This window comes from Homo sapiens, chromosome 6, assembly GCF_000001405.40.
Source record: "Homo sapiens chromosome 6, GRCh38.p14 Primary Assembly".
In the NCBI taxonomy this organism is placed as follows: Eukaryota; Metazoa; Chordata; class Mammalia; order Primates; family Hominidae; genus Homo; species Homo sapiens.
This window is the reverse complement of record NC_000006.12, coordinates 43,794,464-43,812,533: the sequence shown is the minus strand read 5'-3', so window position 1 is coordinate 43,812,533 and position 18,070 is coordinate 43,794,464. Positions and strand designations below refer to the sequence as shown.

Here is an 18,070-nt window from a genome sequence, read left to right as displayed (position 1 = left end):
TCAGTCAAAAAATAAAATAGAATACAGTGGCACCACTCATGGATACACACACATGAAGACACAGACATTTGAGTCGCTTTTGAGGTCACACACATTTGAGGTCAAAAGTGACATGTAGAGACATCACAGGCTCTCATGGGTATACATAAAAACACACCAGACACAAAACATGTCCCACACACACACACACACACACAGTCATTTGGAAACACACAGAGACAAGAGGCCAGGATGTTAGCACCACTACCCCTGACCTCCCTGGCACCTCCTACATCCCCACCTGCCAAGCTTGACCCTGACTGCTTGAGGCACCATTGCTGAAGGTGGCATGTCTCCCTCCTCCAAGGACATCTTCAGGCCCTAAATTCTGCCCCTACTACCAACAATTACCCAGCAACCTGAGCCCTGGCAGAGGCCGAGCTTAAATTAAAATAAAGACAGATCAAGGTACATTGAAATTTTGTGGTCATTCTCTACTGTGACCTCTACTCACCCCCAACCCCCAAGCCCAGTATCACACTCAATACCTATCCCATCACCACCATAGACCAACCCCACGCACCCCACACTCACCGAGTGCACACACTCCCACTGGCCCTGTATGGCATGTCACTACCTCTGCCCACAGACCCAGATCCCTCAGGTCTAAGACAGGTGTACTCACTGGAAATCCACAGGCACATGTAACCCCCATCCTCACATCCCCACACTCACACCCACAAGTCACACAGTCCTATGCAAGCCTGTCCCACAGTACATGCAGATGCAGATCAGCCATTAGACTTCTCAGAAGATGGGAACATATGGGGTGTGAACCCCACACCCACACATACCCAAGGTCCATGCACTGCCCTCTCTCCTCACCACTACCTGAAAGGTGTGACTCACTGCACTTACACCCAGAGCCAGCCATGCAGGACAAAGTGGTACCTCTCCACCCCCAGCCCCCAGCCAGCCTCCAAGCCTCCCCATCACCCACTGCCACCTGACACCACCTGCCACACTGCCCGAGAGCATCCAAGAAAAGGCCAAAGTCTTCAGAACAAGGTCCCTGCTGAGTGGGAGGGGGGTAAGTCACAGGACCTGAGGTGATGTCAGAGCATAAGGACATCAGAAACCTAGTAAAGGCTGAGCCCTGGGCAGAGGGCACAGCTGACCGCCTAGGCCTGTGTAGGCCTGGCACCCCTGGGGCACAGCTGGCCATGGCAGCACTCCACTTTAAATAAACCAAGGTCATCATGTGCCATTCTCTGCATGGGGCTGGGGCCTCCTTATCTCTCCCACCCACCCACCCCCAGCTTAAATCATCTGTCATCACACGTAAGTCAAATTTGCCCATTCACCAAACACAGGGAGACAGATGTAGAGGCAGTGTAGGCATGAGTCACTTCAGAGCCCCAGATGAAGGAGCCACATGCGCAGCATCATGTGTGCCACCACACTCGGCAATTTTTTTCTTTTCTTTTTCTTTCTTTCTTCTTTTTCTTTTTTTTTCTTTTTTTTTCTTTTTTTTTTTTTTTTTTCAGATAGGGGGTTCTCACTATGTCGCCCAGGCAAAAAATGAAGGAATTCTGACACAGGCTACAACATAAATGAACCTCAAGGACATCATGCTAAGTGAACTGAGCCAGTCACATAAAGACAAATACTGTATGATTCCACTTATTTGAGATACATGGGATAGTCAAATTCATAGTAACTGACCAGGGAATGGAGGACAGTGGGGCCTCCGCAGGAGTCTGCCCATTGCCACTGGACGCAGCGAAGGATCAGGGATGTCTCCCGCTTTTGCTCCAAGGCTTTTGGCTCCAGGGTGCCTCTGAGAGTAACAACGATGCCAAGGAACCAGCCAAAATAATCACATCAGAGAGACTGTGACGGAAGACAAGGCCAGCACTCTACAGAAGGCCTCATGGTCTTCTCTCTGATCCCCTGATACCAAGAGTGAACCAGGCAGCCAGCAAGGTGTAAGGAGAACAGACACAGAATGTCCTGGGCCCCTCTGTGGGAGCAGAACAGCCCTGAGAATCCATGATTCTGTGACTTGGGGCAGGGGACACAGAGGACAAAGAAAGGGGAGAGCAACAGCCCTCCTCCAGCCCCTCCTCTTGACCTGCCACCTCCACCTGAGTCCACACCTGGAGAAGTGACTGTTCACATGGACGAAGTGTGGCCAGATTCGAGGTTACAAACCTGCTGCCGCAGCTCACTCAGCCCTTGCCCCAGCCCAGCCCCAGGAGCCCTTCATGAAGGTCTGAGAACCAGCAGTTTCCCTTGCTAGGGGCCCCTGCAGGGCAGGGGGAGACGAAGACCCAGTGTGCAGCAGGATGCCGGAGAACAGGACTGATAGGGGCTCAGAGCTGCAACAGAAGAAACTGAGGGTGGCATGAGGAAGGACTGCCTGCACGACAAAAGACAATTTAATTTGATTAACAAATACTGGCTGAGTGCCAGCTCTGGATCAGGCACTGTGTTTAGGTGCTGGGCCATAAGAGATGTAGAAAATGTATTCTATGCCCCCAAAGAGCTGAGACTGTAACATCATAATAATGACAGCCAGCATCAGCACAGTGTTTATGAGGTGCTAAGCTCTGTCCTCAGTGCTTTTCATGTCATTTGATCCTTTCAACCAACCTTCTAAGCTAGATAACATTATTATTCCCATTTCAAAGATGGCAAAGACACGGAGGCGTATGAGAGTTGAGTAACCTGCCAAGGCTGCATAGCCACGAGCCAGGTTTGGAATCTGGCACTCTGGCTCCAGGGCCCTCGCTCCAGCCATGTTGCTCTCCATCCGCCTTCTGTATGGCAGTGGCAGGTCATCATGTGCCCATTCTCCGCATGGGGCTGGGGCCTCCTTATCTCTCCCACCTGCCCACCCCCAGCTTAAATCATCTGTTATCACACGTAGGTCAAATTCACCCATTCACCGAACACATGCTGAGCACCCACTACATGCCAGGCCCTATGCTGGTGCTGGCCCTTAACGAGTTCTTTGCCTGGTGGGTGACGTCATCCAGATAAACACAGGGAGACAGACGTAGAAGCAGTGTAGGTGTGAGTCACTTCAGAACCCCAGATGAAGGAGCCACATGCACAGCATCAAGAACTAGGGCCATTCATGAAAAGTATAAACTTGTGTGCATCAAAAGACTCTACCAACAGAGTAAAAAAGTGGTCCACAGTATGGGAGAAAATATTTGCAAATTATATATCTGGTAAAGGATTGATACCCAGAATATATAGGGAACTCCTAAAACCCAATAACAGCAACAAAAATTCAAAAATGGGCAAAAAGACTTGAGTAGACCTTTCTCCAAAGATGATATACAAATGGCCAATAAGCACATGAAAAGATGCTCAACATCACTAATTATTAGGGAAATGCAAATCAAAACCACAATGAGATATCACTTCATACCCATCAGGATGGCTACTATGCAGAAAGCAGAGAATATGGAGAAAATGGAACACTCTGCACTGTTAGTGGGAATGTAAAATGGTGCAGCCACTGTGGAAAATATGTATAATGGTTCCTCAAAAAATTAAAAATAGAATTGCCATAGGATCCAGAAATTCCACTTCTGGGTGTATACGTAAACCCAAAAGAATTGAAAGCCAGGTCTCAAAGAGATACTTGTACACCCATGTTCATAGCAGCATTATTCACAATAACCCGAAGCTGGAGGCAACCCAAGGGTCCATCAATAGATAAAAGGACAAGCAAGATTATTTAACATTTAAAATATTTAAAATGAAGAAATTCCTTTTTTTTTTTTGAGATAGGCTCTTGTTCTGTTGCCCAGGCTGGCGTGCCATCGCATGATTGCAGCCCACGACAGCCTCAACCTCCTGGGCCCAAACCATGCTCCCACCTCAGCCTCCTGAATAGCTGAGATCACAGGCACACCACCGCACTCAGCAATTTTTTTTCTTTTTTCTTTTCTTTTTCTTTCTTTCTTTTTGTTTTTTTGTTTTGTTTTGTTTTGTTTTTTGTTTTTATAGATAGGGGGTTCTCACTATGTTGCCCAGGTGAAAAACGAAGGAATTCTGACACAGGCTACGGCATAAATGAACCTCGAGGACATCATGCTAAGTGAAATAAGCCAGTCACACAAAGACAAATACTGTGTGATTCCACTTATTTGAGATACATGGGATAGTCAAATTCATAGTAACTGAAAGTAAAATGGTGGTTGCCAGGGACTGGAGGGAGGGGAATGGGGAGTTAGTGTTTAATACAGAGCTTCAGTTTTGCAAGATGAAGAGTCCTAGAGATGCATGGTAGTGATGGTTACACAGCGATGTGAATGTACTTAATACCACTGAACTGTACATTTAAAAACGACTAAGAGGGTACATTTTGTTACATGTATTTTACCTCAATAAAACACATCTTTAAAAAAATAGAAGAAGCAGCTAGGCGCAAAGTATAACTCCAAGGCCAGCCAGCCTCAGAGGAGAAAGTCTCCTTGATGCAGACACAGCAGAGGCAGCAAAGAAAGCAGCACCGGGGAGAGCCAAGTGTGTGACGGCAGAGCTGGCCTCAGCCACCAAGCCTGGCCGTGTTCTAGATGTGTCACTTCCCTGCTCTAGGGTTCAGTTTCCTCACCTGTCTAGTGGGATCAGTGAAACCTGCTCTGCCAAACCCGTATGCAGAGCTTGGAAAATGATAAGCCGCAAGTATGCAATGTTATGACACAGATAATAACTGTGAAAAAGCCGCGGTCAGGAATCTGATGGAAGTCTTTAGATTTGAACACTTGAAACAAGACACGTTCAAACTATCATGAGAGGTCTGTGAATCACAAGGAGGAAAGGAGCACTAGCTTGAGATAAAGCCTTCCCAGAAGGAGAAACAGCGCTTTCTGCAGCTGCTTTCCTGAGAGGATAATCTTGTCCATCTCTGTGCCTCCTCCCTGCCAGTCAGAGGCCCTGCCCTGCCCCTAGGGAGCCACCGGGCTGCACAGAGGCAGAAGCAGCCTGCAGACACAGAGCCCAGGGTGGTGGCAGATGAATCCAGCCTGGCTGAGCTCAGGGCCAATAGATTCTCACTAGGGGAGGAAGCAGAGGGGGACATGGGCTGGATGTGGTAAGCCTTGAAAGCTTTCTGGAGGACTGGCTGAGCCACTGTGGTGGGGAAACAGCAGGCACACAGCCCATCACCCATGGTGGCAAAAAGCATGGACTTTGACACGGTACAGACCAGGGTCAAGTCTGCTCTGCCTCTTGCTCTGTGTGATCTTGAGCAGTGATGTGAGCTGAGCTTCCCTTCTCCTCTGGTAAAATGGGGGTGTGATATGCACCCTTCTCACAGGGCACTTGTACAGATTACAAGTGAATCTACGTGCTATGCCCAGGACCCAACAAAGGGCAGCCTTTGTTATCATTATTAGTGCCTATTACTAATATAAGTGTTTTCCAAGGCTGGGAGGTGAGACAGAGATGGAAGATGGGAGAAAGACTGCGACTGTGGTCGGGTCGAGTCAGGGTCACACTGGGGCACCTTCCAGGTCTGGTGGGACATGAATGTGTATAGGGGAAGGAGATAGTAAGGGTCCCAGGGTCCTGCCCTAGCCAAGGCCTGACCCTCTGAGGTCTAAGACATACCCTCACCTCCCATTCGGCTAGGAGAGTCCCCCACCTCCTACTGTGGGAATCTGTCCTGTCAGAGCTGGGGGGAAGCACCCTAGATAAATCTTACCCTCCCTTTGGGGTTTACAGGTTGGTTCCCTGTGCTGTTAGCCATTAAAGACAGATCCCTCCTCATGACCCAAGGCTAACCAGGAGAGCTCCAGGAGGCAGCCTCTATGAGGATGTATTTAAAGGAAGCCCCAGCCTCCTCTTCAGGCAGGCCACCCCTCTTTCACCACCTCCCACCCATCCGCCCAACCGTCTTCACACACAAGGACACCTGGGTCTATTGGTGACCCAACAGGTAATCATTAACCCTGAGAGGAGGCACTGGCCCTTTAAGGCTGCCCTGGGAAGAGATGACAAAATCACACCACTGGACTTTGTGCCCTGAGGCTGTTAGGGAAAACAAGACCCGGGAGTGCGAGAGCCTCAGCTGGGAATCCCAGAGAGCCACTTCTGTCAGCCTTCCTCCCTCTGACTCCTCTCTGATAGGCTTGCCCTGCATGTGAATAATGGTAACTCCGCTATGCATGCAGGTCCAGGGGAGTGGTACCCTCTCTGATAGGCATCCTCTCTCCCTGGATCATTAGGCTTTGTTCATACCCCACCTCCTTCTGACAAGGGTCTCAGTCTGGGCTATCCTTTCAATGCCCATCGTGTGAAAAGGGGGACCATGGTAAGGACCACCCCAGCTACACCCAGCACCCAGCCCAGAGCCCAAGGTACTGACCCACAGAAGGCACTGGCCTCGTAAAGGCAACTGGGTGGTGGCATCCACGGAGAGAGCACAGGGGTGGGAATCAGGACTATTAGGTTCTAGACCCTGCTCCGCCCTGGGTCACTGTGGGGCCTCTGGTGTGTCTCAGCCAATCTCTGATCCCGGTGTCTACACGCAGGCAACGGGCCCTCTCACTGCCAGCTAGTCCTGTGGCTTTGCAGCCCTCGGTAGCAGTGATGGAACAGGGGGTGCTGATGCAGGGGATAGCCACTACTGTCCCTCCTCCTTGTGAACCAGGACCACAAACAGGTCACAGGCACATCTTGGACTAACCAAGATGAGCAAAGCTCTCTTAAACAGCTTACACCAAATAAGTGATTAAGAATCTTTCAAGGGCCTCAAGTGCCAGCGCCTCTGGGAAGCCTTCTCTGACTGTCCCAACCTTTGGCTCCAGTGCTGAGGAACTGCTCTGGTAAATATCTCATCTCCCTGATTGGTTTGTGACCTCTTTGAGGTAAAGGAACTGTATCATCTTCAACACAGAGAGCCAGAGCAAGCACGGTCCCAATATTTTCTGAGTGAATAGATGCATTGACATCAATGGTGTTTAAATATCAGCTCTGCACACAGAAGGAAGCCCCAGGTCTGAGTGATGATGTGCAGGTTTGGCCAAGGATGGGCCCAAGTTCTTTCACAGCTGGGTGACCTCAAGAAACAATCTGACCTCCCTGGCTCTCCTTTGGCCCAGATCCCATAAGCTGGTCAGTTAGTGACCATTGATCAGGAGTCTGCTGTCTGCAGGGCCCTGGGGAGGTTGTCAGAGGGCCACATGGCTCAGTTGTTTTTGGTTCCTTATGAAAAACTCTGAGAAAAACAGCATGAAGAAATCAGGACAGATTAGGCAGACCAAAGATGGGAATAAGATGCAAAGAATAGGCTGGAAGTAACCCCAGGAGACCTCCTAGGGGAGGTGAGTTCTGAAATAGAAACCCAGGACATCCATCCCACTCATTCATTAATTCATTCAGTCATCCATCCATTGAAGCAGCAGACATTATTAGAAGCCAGGCCCTGAGAATGTAAATGAACACAGCCCTTCCCTCAAGTTGTTGACAGTCTCGCTGGGCAGCCAGCATCTAAACTCAGGTGACCACACAGTCTGAGATATGACCTAATAGATACAGACCACATGCCAGAAAATAGAAGAGTGGAAAGCCTCTCAGGAGGGTTTATCTTGAAGGAACCCCCCACCAAAATCTGCTCAGCTGATCTGAGCTTTTACGGGAGCAGGAAATGCAGGTAATGAAAGAAGGGGCGAAAGAACCTTTGTAAAGCAACAGTTACCTGGCAGGTAAACAAGGTTAATGGAGACCTGTTGTTTTTCCAGGTTCTTGGTGACCTCACCTTTGACCAACAATTTCCTGGCACTAGCTCAGGCTGCCAAGGGGGGAAGAGGGGGAGGAAGAAGAGGGTAAACAGCAGGTGAGGCCAAAGGTGGCCCTAGAAGGCAAGGGACACATTCCAAAATGTCTCCCCAGCCTGAGGCCTGCAGCAGAGCCCAAAGTCCAATAGGGAACCCACACCCGCATTCCAGTCATCAAAAACACCATAAATACTGGATTACCCACCAGAAAGGATGCTTTCCGCTGCCTAGGAATGCCTCCCTTTCCCCAAGCTGAGGCCCAGTTCCCCACCTCCCCAAGTGTCCCCTTGTCCAGGAGGCCTTCTAGATCAGCTGGAAGGAGCTGAGGATTTCCACTTGGGCATGACCTGTTCCTCCTACCACCTCTTCCTCTTCTGCAATATCATTAACAACCAACCTTTAGGGGAAACTCCCTCTCTTCACTTCATTCCCTTCAGCCCAGACTGGCCAGTGGGAGAGCCCCAGAGCCATGTGGTGCTGCAATCCTGCTGGGCACTCAAAGAAGAAGCCCTGAAATTTCTCAGCCAGCAGCCAGGTTCCCGGCTCACTCTGCCACTCACAGGCTGCATGACCCTGGGTGAGTCACCAGACCTCAGTGTTGTCACCTGAAAAACAGGGATGCTGATGAGAAACACAGTCACATGGCTTTTGAAAGGAGCAAAGGAGATAATGTACAAAGTAAAATTAGGCATTATTATTCTAAATGCTGGATGTTACCAGAGATCACCCAAACTTCTAATTTTACTGATGAGGAAACTAAGGTCCAGAAAAGACATTTTAAAATAAAAGGATTTGGGTCCTCTCTCCTCTTCCTTCTCCTCCTCCTATGACTTATCTTCTTAGTTCAGCCTGGCCTTCTAAATACAGGTTTCTAAACTTTGTAAGGCAGAAATCCCTTGGAGAATCTGATAAAAGATAAGGACTTTCTTTCCCCAAAGGACATTCATTCACATACCCCCAAGACTGTGCAGGTAATTTCAGAGGGCTCGTGTGTTCCAGGCTGGGGCTCTGCTCTATGGCAGAGCAGAAAAAGAGAGGCTGTCCGTTCTTGGGTCAAGTCTCCCACAGCCACAGCCACAGCCCCAGGAAAGCAGGAAATAACAAGGGGCCAAGCCTGAACTTCAGGGATCAAACCTCACCCTGAGAGTCCCCCAAAGCCCAGTCCTCAAGGCCCTGGGAAGAAAGTCCCATTTAATCCCCCTCCAAACTCCTCACTACCCTCTCCCTTACCCCCACCCATCCTCTCTCAATCCACCTAAAACCCCCACCCACCCACAGCTCTTCTTTTGAACTGGTTAATTCTGTTCTGGTCTTTGAAAGTCAAACAGAATCTTAGAGACCATCTGTACAAACCTCTTTATCTTTACAGATGAGAACTATAAACAACGAAAGGCATACTGACTTGCCTGAAGTCACCCAGATAATCAGGACAAGAGCCAGGCTACATTCACCAACTCAGTCCCATGGGTGTGCGCTGAGGACCTACTGTGCGTCCTGGGCCCAGCTGGGAGGGGTGGGGCTGCCAAGAATTGATGAGCTGCAACAAGATTGGCAAAGCAAGTCTGAAATCCTTGGAATGAGAGTGCAAACAAGGTTACCAAGCTCCTGATTGTGTAAGAGAGGTTGCACAATCTCTAGAAGTTCAGCAAAGGCAGGGTTAGAGCATTCATTCATTCATTCATTCACTTATTCATTCGCTTAACAAATATTTATTGAACCCTAAGCACTAGTCATGGGGCCAACAGTCTCGACAATCACCCAGGCAAGGTTCCTGCTCCCCTGAAATCCTAGAGAGAGAAAGTCAATCTGTAAACAAATAAATTTTAGCTAGAGATAAATACCATGAAGAAAATTAAAAGAGTGGAATGCAAGCAACTTGGGGATGCCATTTATATTGCAAGGGAGGAGGGGAGAGGTGTTCAAGGAAAGCCTCTTGGAGGAGGTGACATATGAACAGAATCCTGAAAGGTGAGGGGGAGGTATCCATGCAAAGATGTGGAGGCAGCATGTTCCTGAAGGAGGGAACAGCAAGTACGAAGTCCCTAAGCGGACACAACACTGATATGTTCAAGGAAGGAGAGATTATTGTGTGCAGAGGGTGAGAGGGGCCTGCAAGGAGGCTGAAGAGATGGTCAGGAGGCAGACAAGGCCGGGCCTTGTGGACAGGCGATGAAGGCAGGCTTTATTTTGTGTGCAGGGAGGGTTTAAGCACAGAGGTAGCATGATCCTTCCTGTGGCATTAAAGTGGTTTCTGGCTGCTGGGAGGAAAAAGAATTGGAGAAGCTGGAGAGGAATGGAGAAGCCATGGAGCTGAAGCCAGATGGTAGAAAGAGGGGAACAAGGACAGAAGTATTTTTGAAGCAGAGCAGGCCCCGGGATTGCTGATGGCTTTGATCACCCGAAGGGATGGTCAGATTATGAATGCGTCTTTGGGCTTGAGCAGCTGTGGGGATGGAGGTGCCGTTCACAGGTATAAGAAAGTAACAGGCTTATGAGGAGAACGAACTCTTGCAATTTGTATATCAGGGAAAAAAGCTCGATATCCTTTGCTCACAAAACCTGTTCTGTCTGAATGTACTATAAAGACCATGTGTCCATATGACAACAAAAGATACAGCCATTTAAAGAACTCAAAGGTGTCTGTGACAGAGGATGGGGGAGCTAGGCTCTGAAAATAGCCAACGTGGCCAAAAGTGTATCAATCACAAGTAAAATTTCAAAACTGCTTTCCTTCTGGGCTTTCCACACCGTGCGGCTGACAGCCAGGGCTCTCCCTCCAGCCAAAGGCGGGGCCGTGTGGTCAGGGACCGAGGCTGGCAGGGGCACCTCACGCCCTGTGTTTGAGCTTCTTTCACTCGTGCTCCCTCTCATCTGATTTTCATGTTGTGCGAACCATGGTCACTAGATTTGGGCATGGTTCTTTCTGTAAGTCAAGAGATTTTTTTTTTCTTTTATAATCATCTTCTTTGAGAATGAAGGCGTTTCTTTTTATTGGGAAAAAAGTACCAGCTGGAATTATACACTGAATCACATTCCCGGCGCCACGTTCTGAGGGGAACTTGGGCATTAGATCCTGCCACGGCACTCCCGCTGGGCGCCCTCAATCAGAGGACAACACTGACCATCTGCCCTGTGCCTGTCAATGCAAACCCCAGAGGAAGACACAGAAAATTCCTTCCTCTAGGGATTTTGGTTGGGAAAATCCAGGCTTTTCCTCCAACTCTGTATCCTGTGTAGTCCTACTGGACCCCAAACCCAAGGCTTCTGACCTTGACGAGCCCCAGTCTCAGTCCTAGCCTCAGTCAGCCCTGCCTCTCTCCTGGGCCTTCCCTGACCTCTGCCACATCCCCTTCTTTCTTTCCTTCATCCTTCTTTACCTCTGACTGGAGATGTCCTGAACTTTTTTGCTCCGGTGCTGGTCTAGCCCTAGGCCACCTCCTCCAGGAAGCCCCTAGTGGTCAAGCCTGATGCCATCATCAACCTGGCAGCAGTTTCCAGTGCTCTCTCCTTCTATATACTGGTGTGTGATGGTCCTGGATTGTGTGCGTGTGTACATGTGTAACAGATCTGAAGGAGCATCTCTTCTGTTCAGATAGGAGGATCTTAGGGGCCTCATAATGACCAGCGGACACCTTTCCATTCTCTTCCTCGAGAATCCTCTCATTACGGGCCTGTTGCCAGTGACTGGCCTGTCTTCCCACTCTCCCTGGCCTCTGTTTCAGGTCCCTTCCATCCAGCCAACACATATTTACTGAGTACCTATTCTGTGCCAGACACGTGCTGAGAGCACAAGTATGAACAAGATAGGCAGTTCCCAGCTCTCATGGAACTGCTATTCTGAGTGAGGCATCCTCAGGGAGGTCGATGGGTGCGTGGGGAGCGTGTACACAGAGGGAGAGAGAGAGATCATCACCCACAGTGACAGGTGCCATTTGCTCCACAAGTTGAGTATCTATTGTGTGTCAGGTCCTATTCCAGGGACTTAGGACACATCAGTGAATAAAACAAAGACACCAACTCTTGTAAAACTTAAATTCAAGGTGAGGGGAGACAGAAAGTACACAATGCACTTAATAAATACATGCATTTTATAATGTGAAAACATTAAAGAGTGGTAAGTGTTTAGAAAAAAAGATAAAAGAGTATAGGGTAAGAGGGCTGGAGAGTGTAGGAAGAATATTGCCATTTTAAATAGGATGCCCAGGGCAGGCCTCATTGAGAAGGCGATGTTTGAGCAAAGACTTGAAGAAGGCAAGGGAGTGAGTCCTGCAGATATCTGGAGAAAGAACATTCCAGGCAGAGGGGGAAAGCTGTGCAAAGGCCCTGGGTCAGGAGTATGCCAGATGTGTTTGAAGAACACACTTGCTGTTCTTGGAAAGGAATCATGTAGGACCTTGAAGGCCATCGTAAGGACTTTGGTCTTTAGTCTGAGGAAGACCAGGAGCCACTGCGGGGATTTGAGCCAAAAAGTGACATGAGCTGACTCAGCCCTTCCTCATTAAATGCAGCAATTGATAGAAAGTGACTGAGGTGGGGAGGAGGCTGCTACTTTAGGTAATGAGGTCAGGGCAGTCTTTCTGAGGAGGAGCACCTAAGCTGGGAGCTTAGAGGCAGAGAATGACCCCACCCACTCTTCTTTCCCCTCCTCTTCCTCAAACTGTCAACCAGGGAAAAGCCTTCTGATGTCTACCACACCTCACGCATCTCCTTTCCCTCATCCTTTCATCCTCTCTCCCTTCCTCTCTCACCATCTCCATTTTCTCCCTCCCCTCTTCTTTAGTCTTCTGCCGCACCCCTCAGAGATGAGGCCTCTGCCTTCCTGGGGTTCTTAGAAAACAGTTGTGAAAAGCAGAAGGAAATGCTGCAGTAGGCCCTTGGCAGGAAGGAGGGCAGCAGATTACAGTGTCTGGTCCCAGAGGCTCACCCTGTAATCATCACTGTGTTTCAGGTGACCGGGGACCCTGAGGCATGCCCCTACCAGGCCAGGACTTTCTATCCTCAGCCAACCCTCCCCAGTCCCCCACCTCAAACATAGGCAAGAGAGAGGAGGCAGCTTCAAGGCCTCGCCGTCAGCCCAGCCTTCAAGGCCTGATGAGGAGCCAGCTAGAGGGGACCCCTGAGCCTTCAAGCACAACCCCCACGGGGTACAGAGGATGGAACTGAGGCCCCAAGAGGAAACAATGTAACTCCAGGTCTCAGGGTGAGATTTGAACCCAAGGCACTGTCTGCACCCCAGACTACCTCATCTTCTGGCCTAGGCCTTGGGGTCAAGTGGCAGGTCAAGGATTTGGCTCCCTTGCCTCAGACAAAGAAGAGGGGCTGTCTGTGGTCAGACACTGCATTACCAAGGCAGGGCAGGGGTGCTTTGCTGCTAGATGCTGGCATCCAAAGGGCCAGGGAGAACTCATCCCCAGTGGAGAGTGACCCTAACCGCACATCTTCAGGAGAATGGGGATGGCTCAGGACAGCCCTGCCCCACTGAAGTAACAGCTCAACCAGCCAGTGGAGCAAAGCTCCAAGGGACAGGTAAGCCCACAGGCCGTCTTTTCAGCCCCATCCCAGGGGCCCAGGCTCTGAGTCTGTGAATAGAATCCCTCCTATCCTCTAGGAAGAGAGATTTCAGTGTCAGCCTCCTGGGTCACCTGTCTATCCGGTCCAGAAATAGACCTGGCCCTCCTTGGCTGTCACGTGCCATGCGTGGCTGTGGCCTCCAGCACCTGAGTCATCTGTGACTCATCGCCCTCTGCCCTTGGTCTCAAGAGGGCTGGGCCAGGACTCATAAGACCAGTCTGATGTCCCTGCTACAGGCCTGTCCCTCCCTGCTCCACCCCACACTGTGACATAGGAAAATAGCCAGACGCCTTGCAGCAGACACCCATATGAACTCCCATCTGCTCACAGGGGACCCAGACGCCTAACCCCACTCACCCCTGCACACACACACACACGCACACACACACACACTCCTTCACAGCGCCTCTCTGCTCACATGTGTGCTGGGTGGCCCCACATCTCCCAGAGTCTCTCCATAAGCCCAAAGCACTGCTCTGAGATTTAGGCCCTGCTATTAACTCCCTGGGTGACCTCACACAAGATTCCTCCCCTTCTCTTTTGGGGCCTCAGTTCCCTCCTCTGATCTGGGACTCACACGTCTCCAAGATCCTTTCTAGACCTTAATTTAAGGTGGGGCATGGTGATTACAGACTACGGTGAATGATTGAAGGGAAAGAACTAGGAGGGTGATGGTGGGCACAGTGGAGGGGAAGGAGGACACCTGCCCGGGACCCTTCAGATCACACCACACCTCTGGCTACAGTAAAGAATGACAAAGAATGGCAATGCCCTGAAAGACTCTTCCTCAAACAGCCAACTCTGGGCCTCCAGTGCCCCACAAAACCCACTACCTCAGAAGAAGGACCAAGGGGTTGAACTCCTAAAGGGACCTCCCTAAAGACACTGCTGTGTCTCCCCTCAGACTGGGCTCCCTAAAGACACTGCTGTGTCTCCCCTCAAACTGGGGCTCCCTGAGTCAGGGCTGTGCCTCCCCTCAGACTGGGGCTCCCTGAGGATGGGGCTGCATCTCCCTCAGAATGGGGCTTCCTGAGGACAGGGCTGCGTCTCCCTCAGACTGGGGCTTCCTGAGGACGGGGCTGCATCTCCCTCAGACTGCGGTTCCCTGAGGACGGGACTGCGTCTCCCCTCAGACTGGGGCTCCCTGAGGATGGGGCTGCACCTCGCTCAGACTGGGGCTCCCGTAGGACGGGGCTGCGTCTCCCCTCAGACTGGGGCTCCCTGAGGATGGGGCTAAACCTCGCTCAGACTGGGGCTCCCGTAGGACGGGGCTGTGTCTCCCTCAGAGTGGGGCTCCCTGAGGATGGGGCTGTTCTCTTCCTGACTCTCCCACAGGTCAAGAGCTTTCAGTCCCACCTTTTTTCCCAAATCTTCCTCTCTTGACTGAGTATGACCCAACTCTAGGCCAGTTCTTCTCAGCCTGGTTTCTTCTCTGTGAATTGGACCCAGGATGACAGCACCCACAGAGAGGGGCCCATGTACTGATGAAACCATCTAAATAGCCATCACCACCAGGTGTCTCCCATATTCCACCTGTTTTATCCTCAAATTCTCCTGGTTAATGTGGTTCACACCTAGATATGGTTCCTTAGAGGAAAGACAGGGCAGTGTGATCCAGAAATCAGAGATTTGGCAGGAGCCACAAAGCTGAGGGTCATCAGCCACTCACACTCTATTTGTCGTTTTTCACCCACCTGGACCCCAGAACACCTCCCCCGCCCCAGGAAGGGGTTAAGGAGTATCCCTCCCAGGGTACGGGGCATTGGGAAAGCTAGGAGGGAGCCATGTTCCTCCACTTGGCCCAAGCTTCAGTTTCCCAATCCAGTATTATTACCGTGAGGCAGAACCAGGCCGGAGGCAGCTGGGCAGACTGGACACCACCAGGCTGTGGATCCCAGAATCTTCTTCTCTTATTGGAGTGGCCCAGGGAACCAGACTAGCTCCTGAGAGCTCTCAGCTGGGAGGGCCCTGGGCTCTGGGTAGAGAGGGGCATGAGCTCAGCAGAGGCAGGGCAGGAAGACTACTCAAGAGAGCAAGGAAGAACCCCAGACAGGAGGTTGTAAGTGGGCCTGTCATCTCCGTGACGTGGAGAAGTAGCAGAGACCACGTCCGGGTCTCCAGTTGCCACCGTCACCCTTCTGTCACAGCTTCCAGTACTGACTTCCTTACTTTTTTGTTTTACCACAACCCCCCTGAAAAATATATCCTACCTCATGACCCAGAACGCATGTACACACACACACACACACACACTCCACACAAGTTTCAAGAAACAATACTTACCCTTACTCTATGCAAGACTAAATATTTTCTGCCCTATTCTCTTCCTATTTAAGAAAAAGAATCATGCTGGTTGCATGCTGTTAAATCGACTTCATGACCCACATAGATCACAATGTGCATTTTGGAAACCCTACCCCAAGGTCAGCAAGCTAGATATAGTGCCATTGTACAGGTAGGGACACTGAGGCCCAGAGAACAACCAAGAGCTGCCTGAGGTCACAGGGCTGGTTGGTGACAGAGCCCCAGCCAGAGCTCTGGGGTCTTGGCTCCCAGAGAATTGTTTCCACTGGAAGTTTCCAGAGCCTGAGGGACTCGGAGATAGCTGCCTGCAGAATGAGGACTGGGGAAGAGAATTCCCACCGGCAGGTCATCAGGGAGGAGGAGACGGATGTTTACTGAGGCTCTCTCAGAGCTTCTGCAGGTAGCAGCAGTGAAGGCTATGCTAAGCCTGTGGAAAAGGTCAGCCTTGAGGGTCAGCGCCAGGTCCTCCAGAGCACGATGAAAAGGAGAAAGGGGAGTGGCCTGGCTACAAGGTCACATGGACTCAATCCAAAGGAGGCTCCCAGTCTGATGGGGGAGACACTGCCTGTGCCCTCAGAGAGCTCCTAATTTGTTTCAGATCTCTGCTGCAGGCAGAAAGTGAGGACAAATCCAGAACGAGGGCCCACACACAATGTCTACACTGGATACCTCAGCAGCAAAGCAGTGAGAAGGCTGGGGAGGAGGAAGGGGAGCAGCAAAGCAACTGAGAACTCGCAAGAGGGAGGTCCAGCCACTCCATCCAGGCAGGGTTGCCAGACAAAGTACGGGATGCCCAGTTAAATTTGAATTTCACACAAACAATGAAAATTTAATGGGGCACCTCGTGTTTTTATTTGCTGCATCTGACAACTTACTTCTAGGATCTTCCCTCCTCAGACCCAGAAGGCCAGCTGACCAGAGAGGCCTGAGGCCCATGCAGGACTAACAGACAGCAGGAGAAACTGAGGAAGAGCTTCATGTCCAGGTACCTGGTATTGACCCAGGGTGAGGGTGAGACAGAGATGAGGGGCTCTGGGACCCCCCATCCCCTAGAAGGTAGTCCTCAGATCATGGATACCTCCTTCCCACCTTCAGAGAGGGAGAGAGGATGGTCTGGGATGCAAGAGATAGCCTTTGGAGTGGACATGTAATGGTGGGCGAGGGAAGAAATGGCTTCCTTTGCCCCCTCCCAGCAGCCACCCATTCAAGATAAGCAAGACTCCAGGGACACTTCCTGTGAAGCAAACGCCAACGGCCGGCACACCACTGGCATCTGGGGGCCGGGGTGGGAGAGAGGCAGTTTCTCCGAAGTCATGGGGCCTGGAGGAGGGTTTTACCAGCATCGAGCTGAGCCCTTCCCCTCACCCCCATGTCTCTTCTGCCCCCTTTCCCCACTGCGTGCCCTCCACCCACCACCAGCACCACCATTTGGGTTTTTACTATGGCTGCCAGAGACTTAGGCAGTGTCAAGGGTGTGGCTGGGGTCACCACAGTCACAAGGAAAGGGGATGAGCCCCGCTGGCCTCAACAAGAAGGCATTCCCTGGGCTCCCATAATCTTTGCCAGCAAAATGTACCCTTCCCCAGTCCCCAGAATGGGGGGTAAGCACTAGGACTTGGGGAGTGGGGCACAGAGCAATGCTGGGGATGCAGCCAGGAGCCGAGCCTGGGGCCACATCCTGGGAAGGGATTAATTGTAGGCCTGAGACTCTGTGCCCAGGGCTTAGGGCCCTGTGCCCTGCCTGCACCTCATTACGAGAAGGAAAGGAAAAGTTGTTTCCATTTTTCCTTGTGGGTTTCTGCACTGGCTGTTGCCACACCAAGAGAATGAACCATCCCCAAAAAGGCTCGGCATTTTAGATGGTTCATCTAAAGGGATCCGTAGATCCCTTTCTCCCCAAGGGAGAAGGCCCAAGGTCATACCCTCACCATCAGGGAGCACACGGGCTAATCAGAGAGAATTTGTCCCTGCTCTTGGGGACCCTGACAGGGTGAGGTGACTAATGTTCATTTATTCATTCATTCTACAAGTACCATATTTATTGAGCCCCTTAAGAGGGGACTGGGGGTGGGTTTTACCAGCATCCAGCTGAACTCTTCCCCTCACTCCAGGTCTCTTCTTCCCTCCTTCCCTTTTAAGTGGCAATCACTGTGTGTTCATTGTCTAATATAATCCACATCAACACCTGGGAGGTAGGTGTTGCCATGTCCATTTTACAGAGCAAGACAATGAGCCCCAGAGAGATCCAGCAACTTGCCCAAGGTCACAGAGCTAGAAAACTCTACTGATGTCAAAAGTAGAGCTCAGCTCTGTCCGATTTCAAATCCTCTCTTCCTACATCCTTGTGCCAAATCACGACGACAATAGCTAACCTTTATCGGGCCCTTATTGCATGCCAGTCATCCTCCTATAACCAT

At 50.8% G+C, this 18,070-nt stretch overlaps 1 long non-coding RNA gene across 3 annotated transcripts in view, besides 4 other annotated features; it reads right to left on the bottom strand.

The window, feature by feature from the left end:
* LOC105375070 (uncharacterized) overlaps window positions 1–15,375 on the bottom strand; it is a 107,357-nt gene extending 91,982 nt beyond the window's left edge. For 2 of the 3 annotated variants that reach the window (XR_007059588.1, XR_007059589.1), the window contains exon 1: window positions 15,184–15,375. This is a non-coding gene — a long non-coding RNA (uncharacterized LOC105375070). Of the gene's footprint in view, window positions 1–8,175; window positions 8,384–15,183 lie in introns of all 3 variants that reach the window. The other variant, XR_926833.3, reaches the window with a different exon arrangement.
* Window positions 4,648–4,942: a silencer, noted in NCBI's record as "tiled region #5169; K562 Repressive DNase matched - State 8:EnhW". NCBI's record gives its function as "represses a minimal TATA promoter and a strong SV40 promoter by Sharpr-MPRA in K562 cells {active_cell/tissue: K562}" and the evidence as "EXISTENCE:reporter gene assay evidence [ECO:0000049][PMID:27701403]".
* Window positions 12,521–12,570: an enhancer, noted in NCBI's record as "active region_24618". NCBI's record gives its function as "activates an Ori minimal core promoter by ATAC-STARR-seq in GM12878 lymphoblastoid cells {active_cell/tissue: GM12878}" and the evidence as "EXISTENCE:reporter gene assay evidence [ECO:0000049][PMID:35858748]".
* Window positions 12,688–13,272: an enhancer, noted in NCBI's record as "H3K4me1 hESC enhancer chr6:43766999-43767583 (GRCh37/hg19 assembly coordinates)". NCBI's record gives its function as "activates a minimal SCP1, AML or CMV promoter by ChIP-STARR-seq in naive H9 embryonic stem cells {active_cell/tissue: H9 hESC(naive)}" and the evidence as "EXISTENCE:reporter gene assay evidence [ECO:0000049][PMID:30033119]".
* Window positions 13,331–13,470: an enhancer, noted in NCBI's record as "active region_24617". NCBI's record gives its function as "activates an Ori minimal core promoter by ATAC-STARR-seq in GM12878 lymphoblastoid cells {active_cell/tissue: GM12878}" and the evidence as "EXISTENCE:reporter gene assay evidence [ECO:0000049][PMID:35858748]".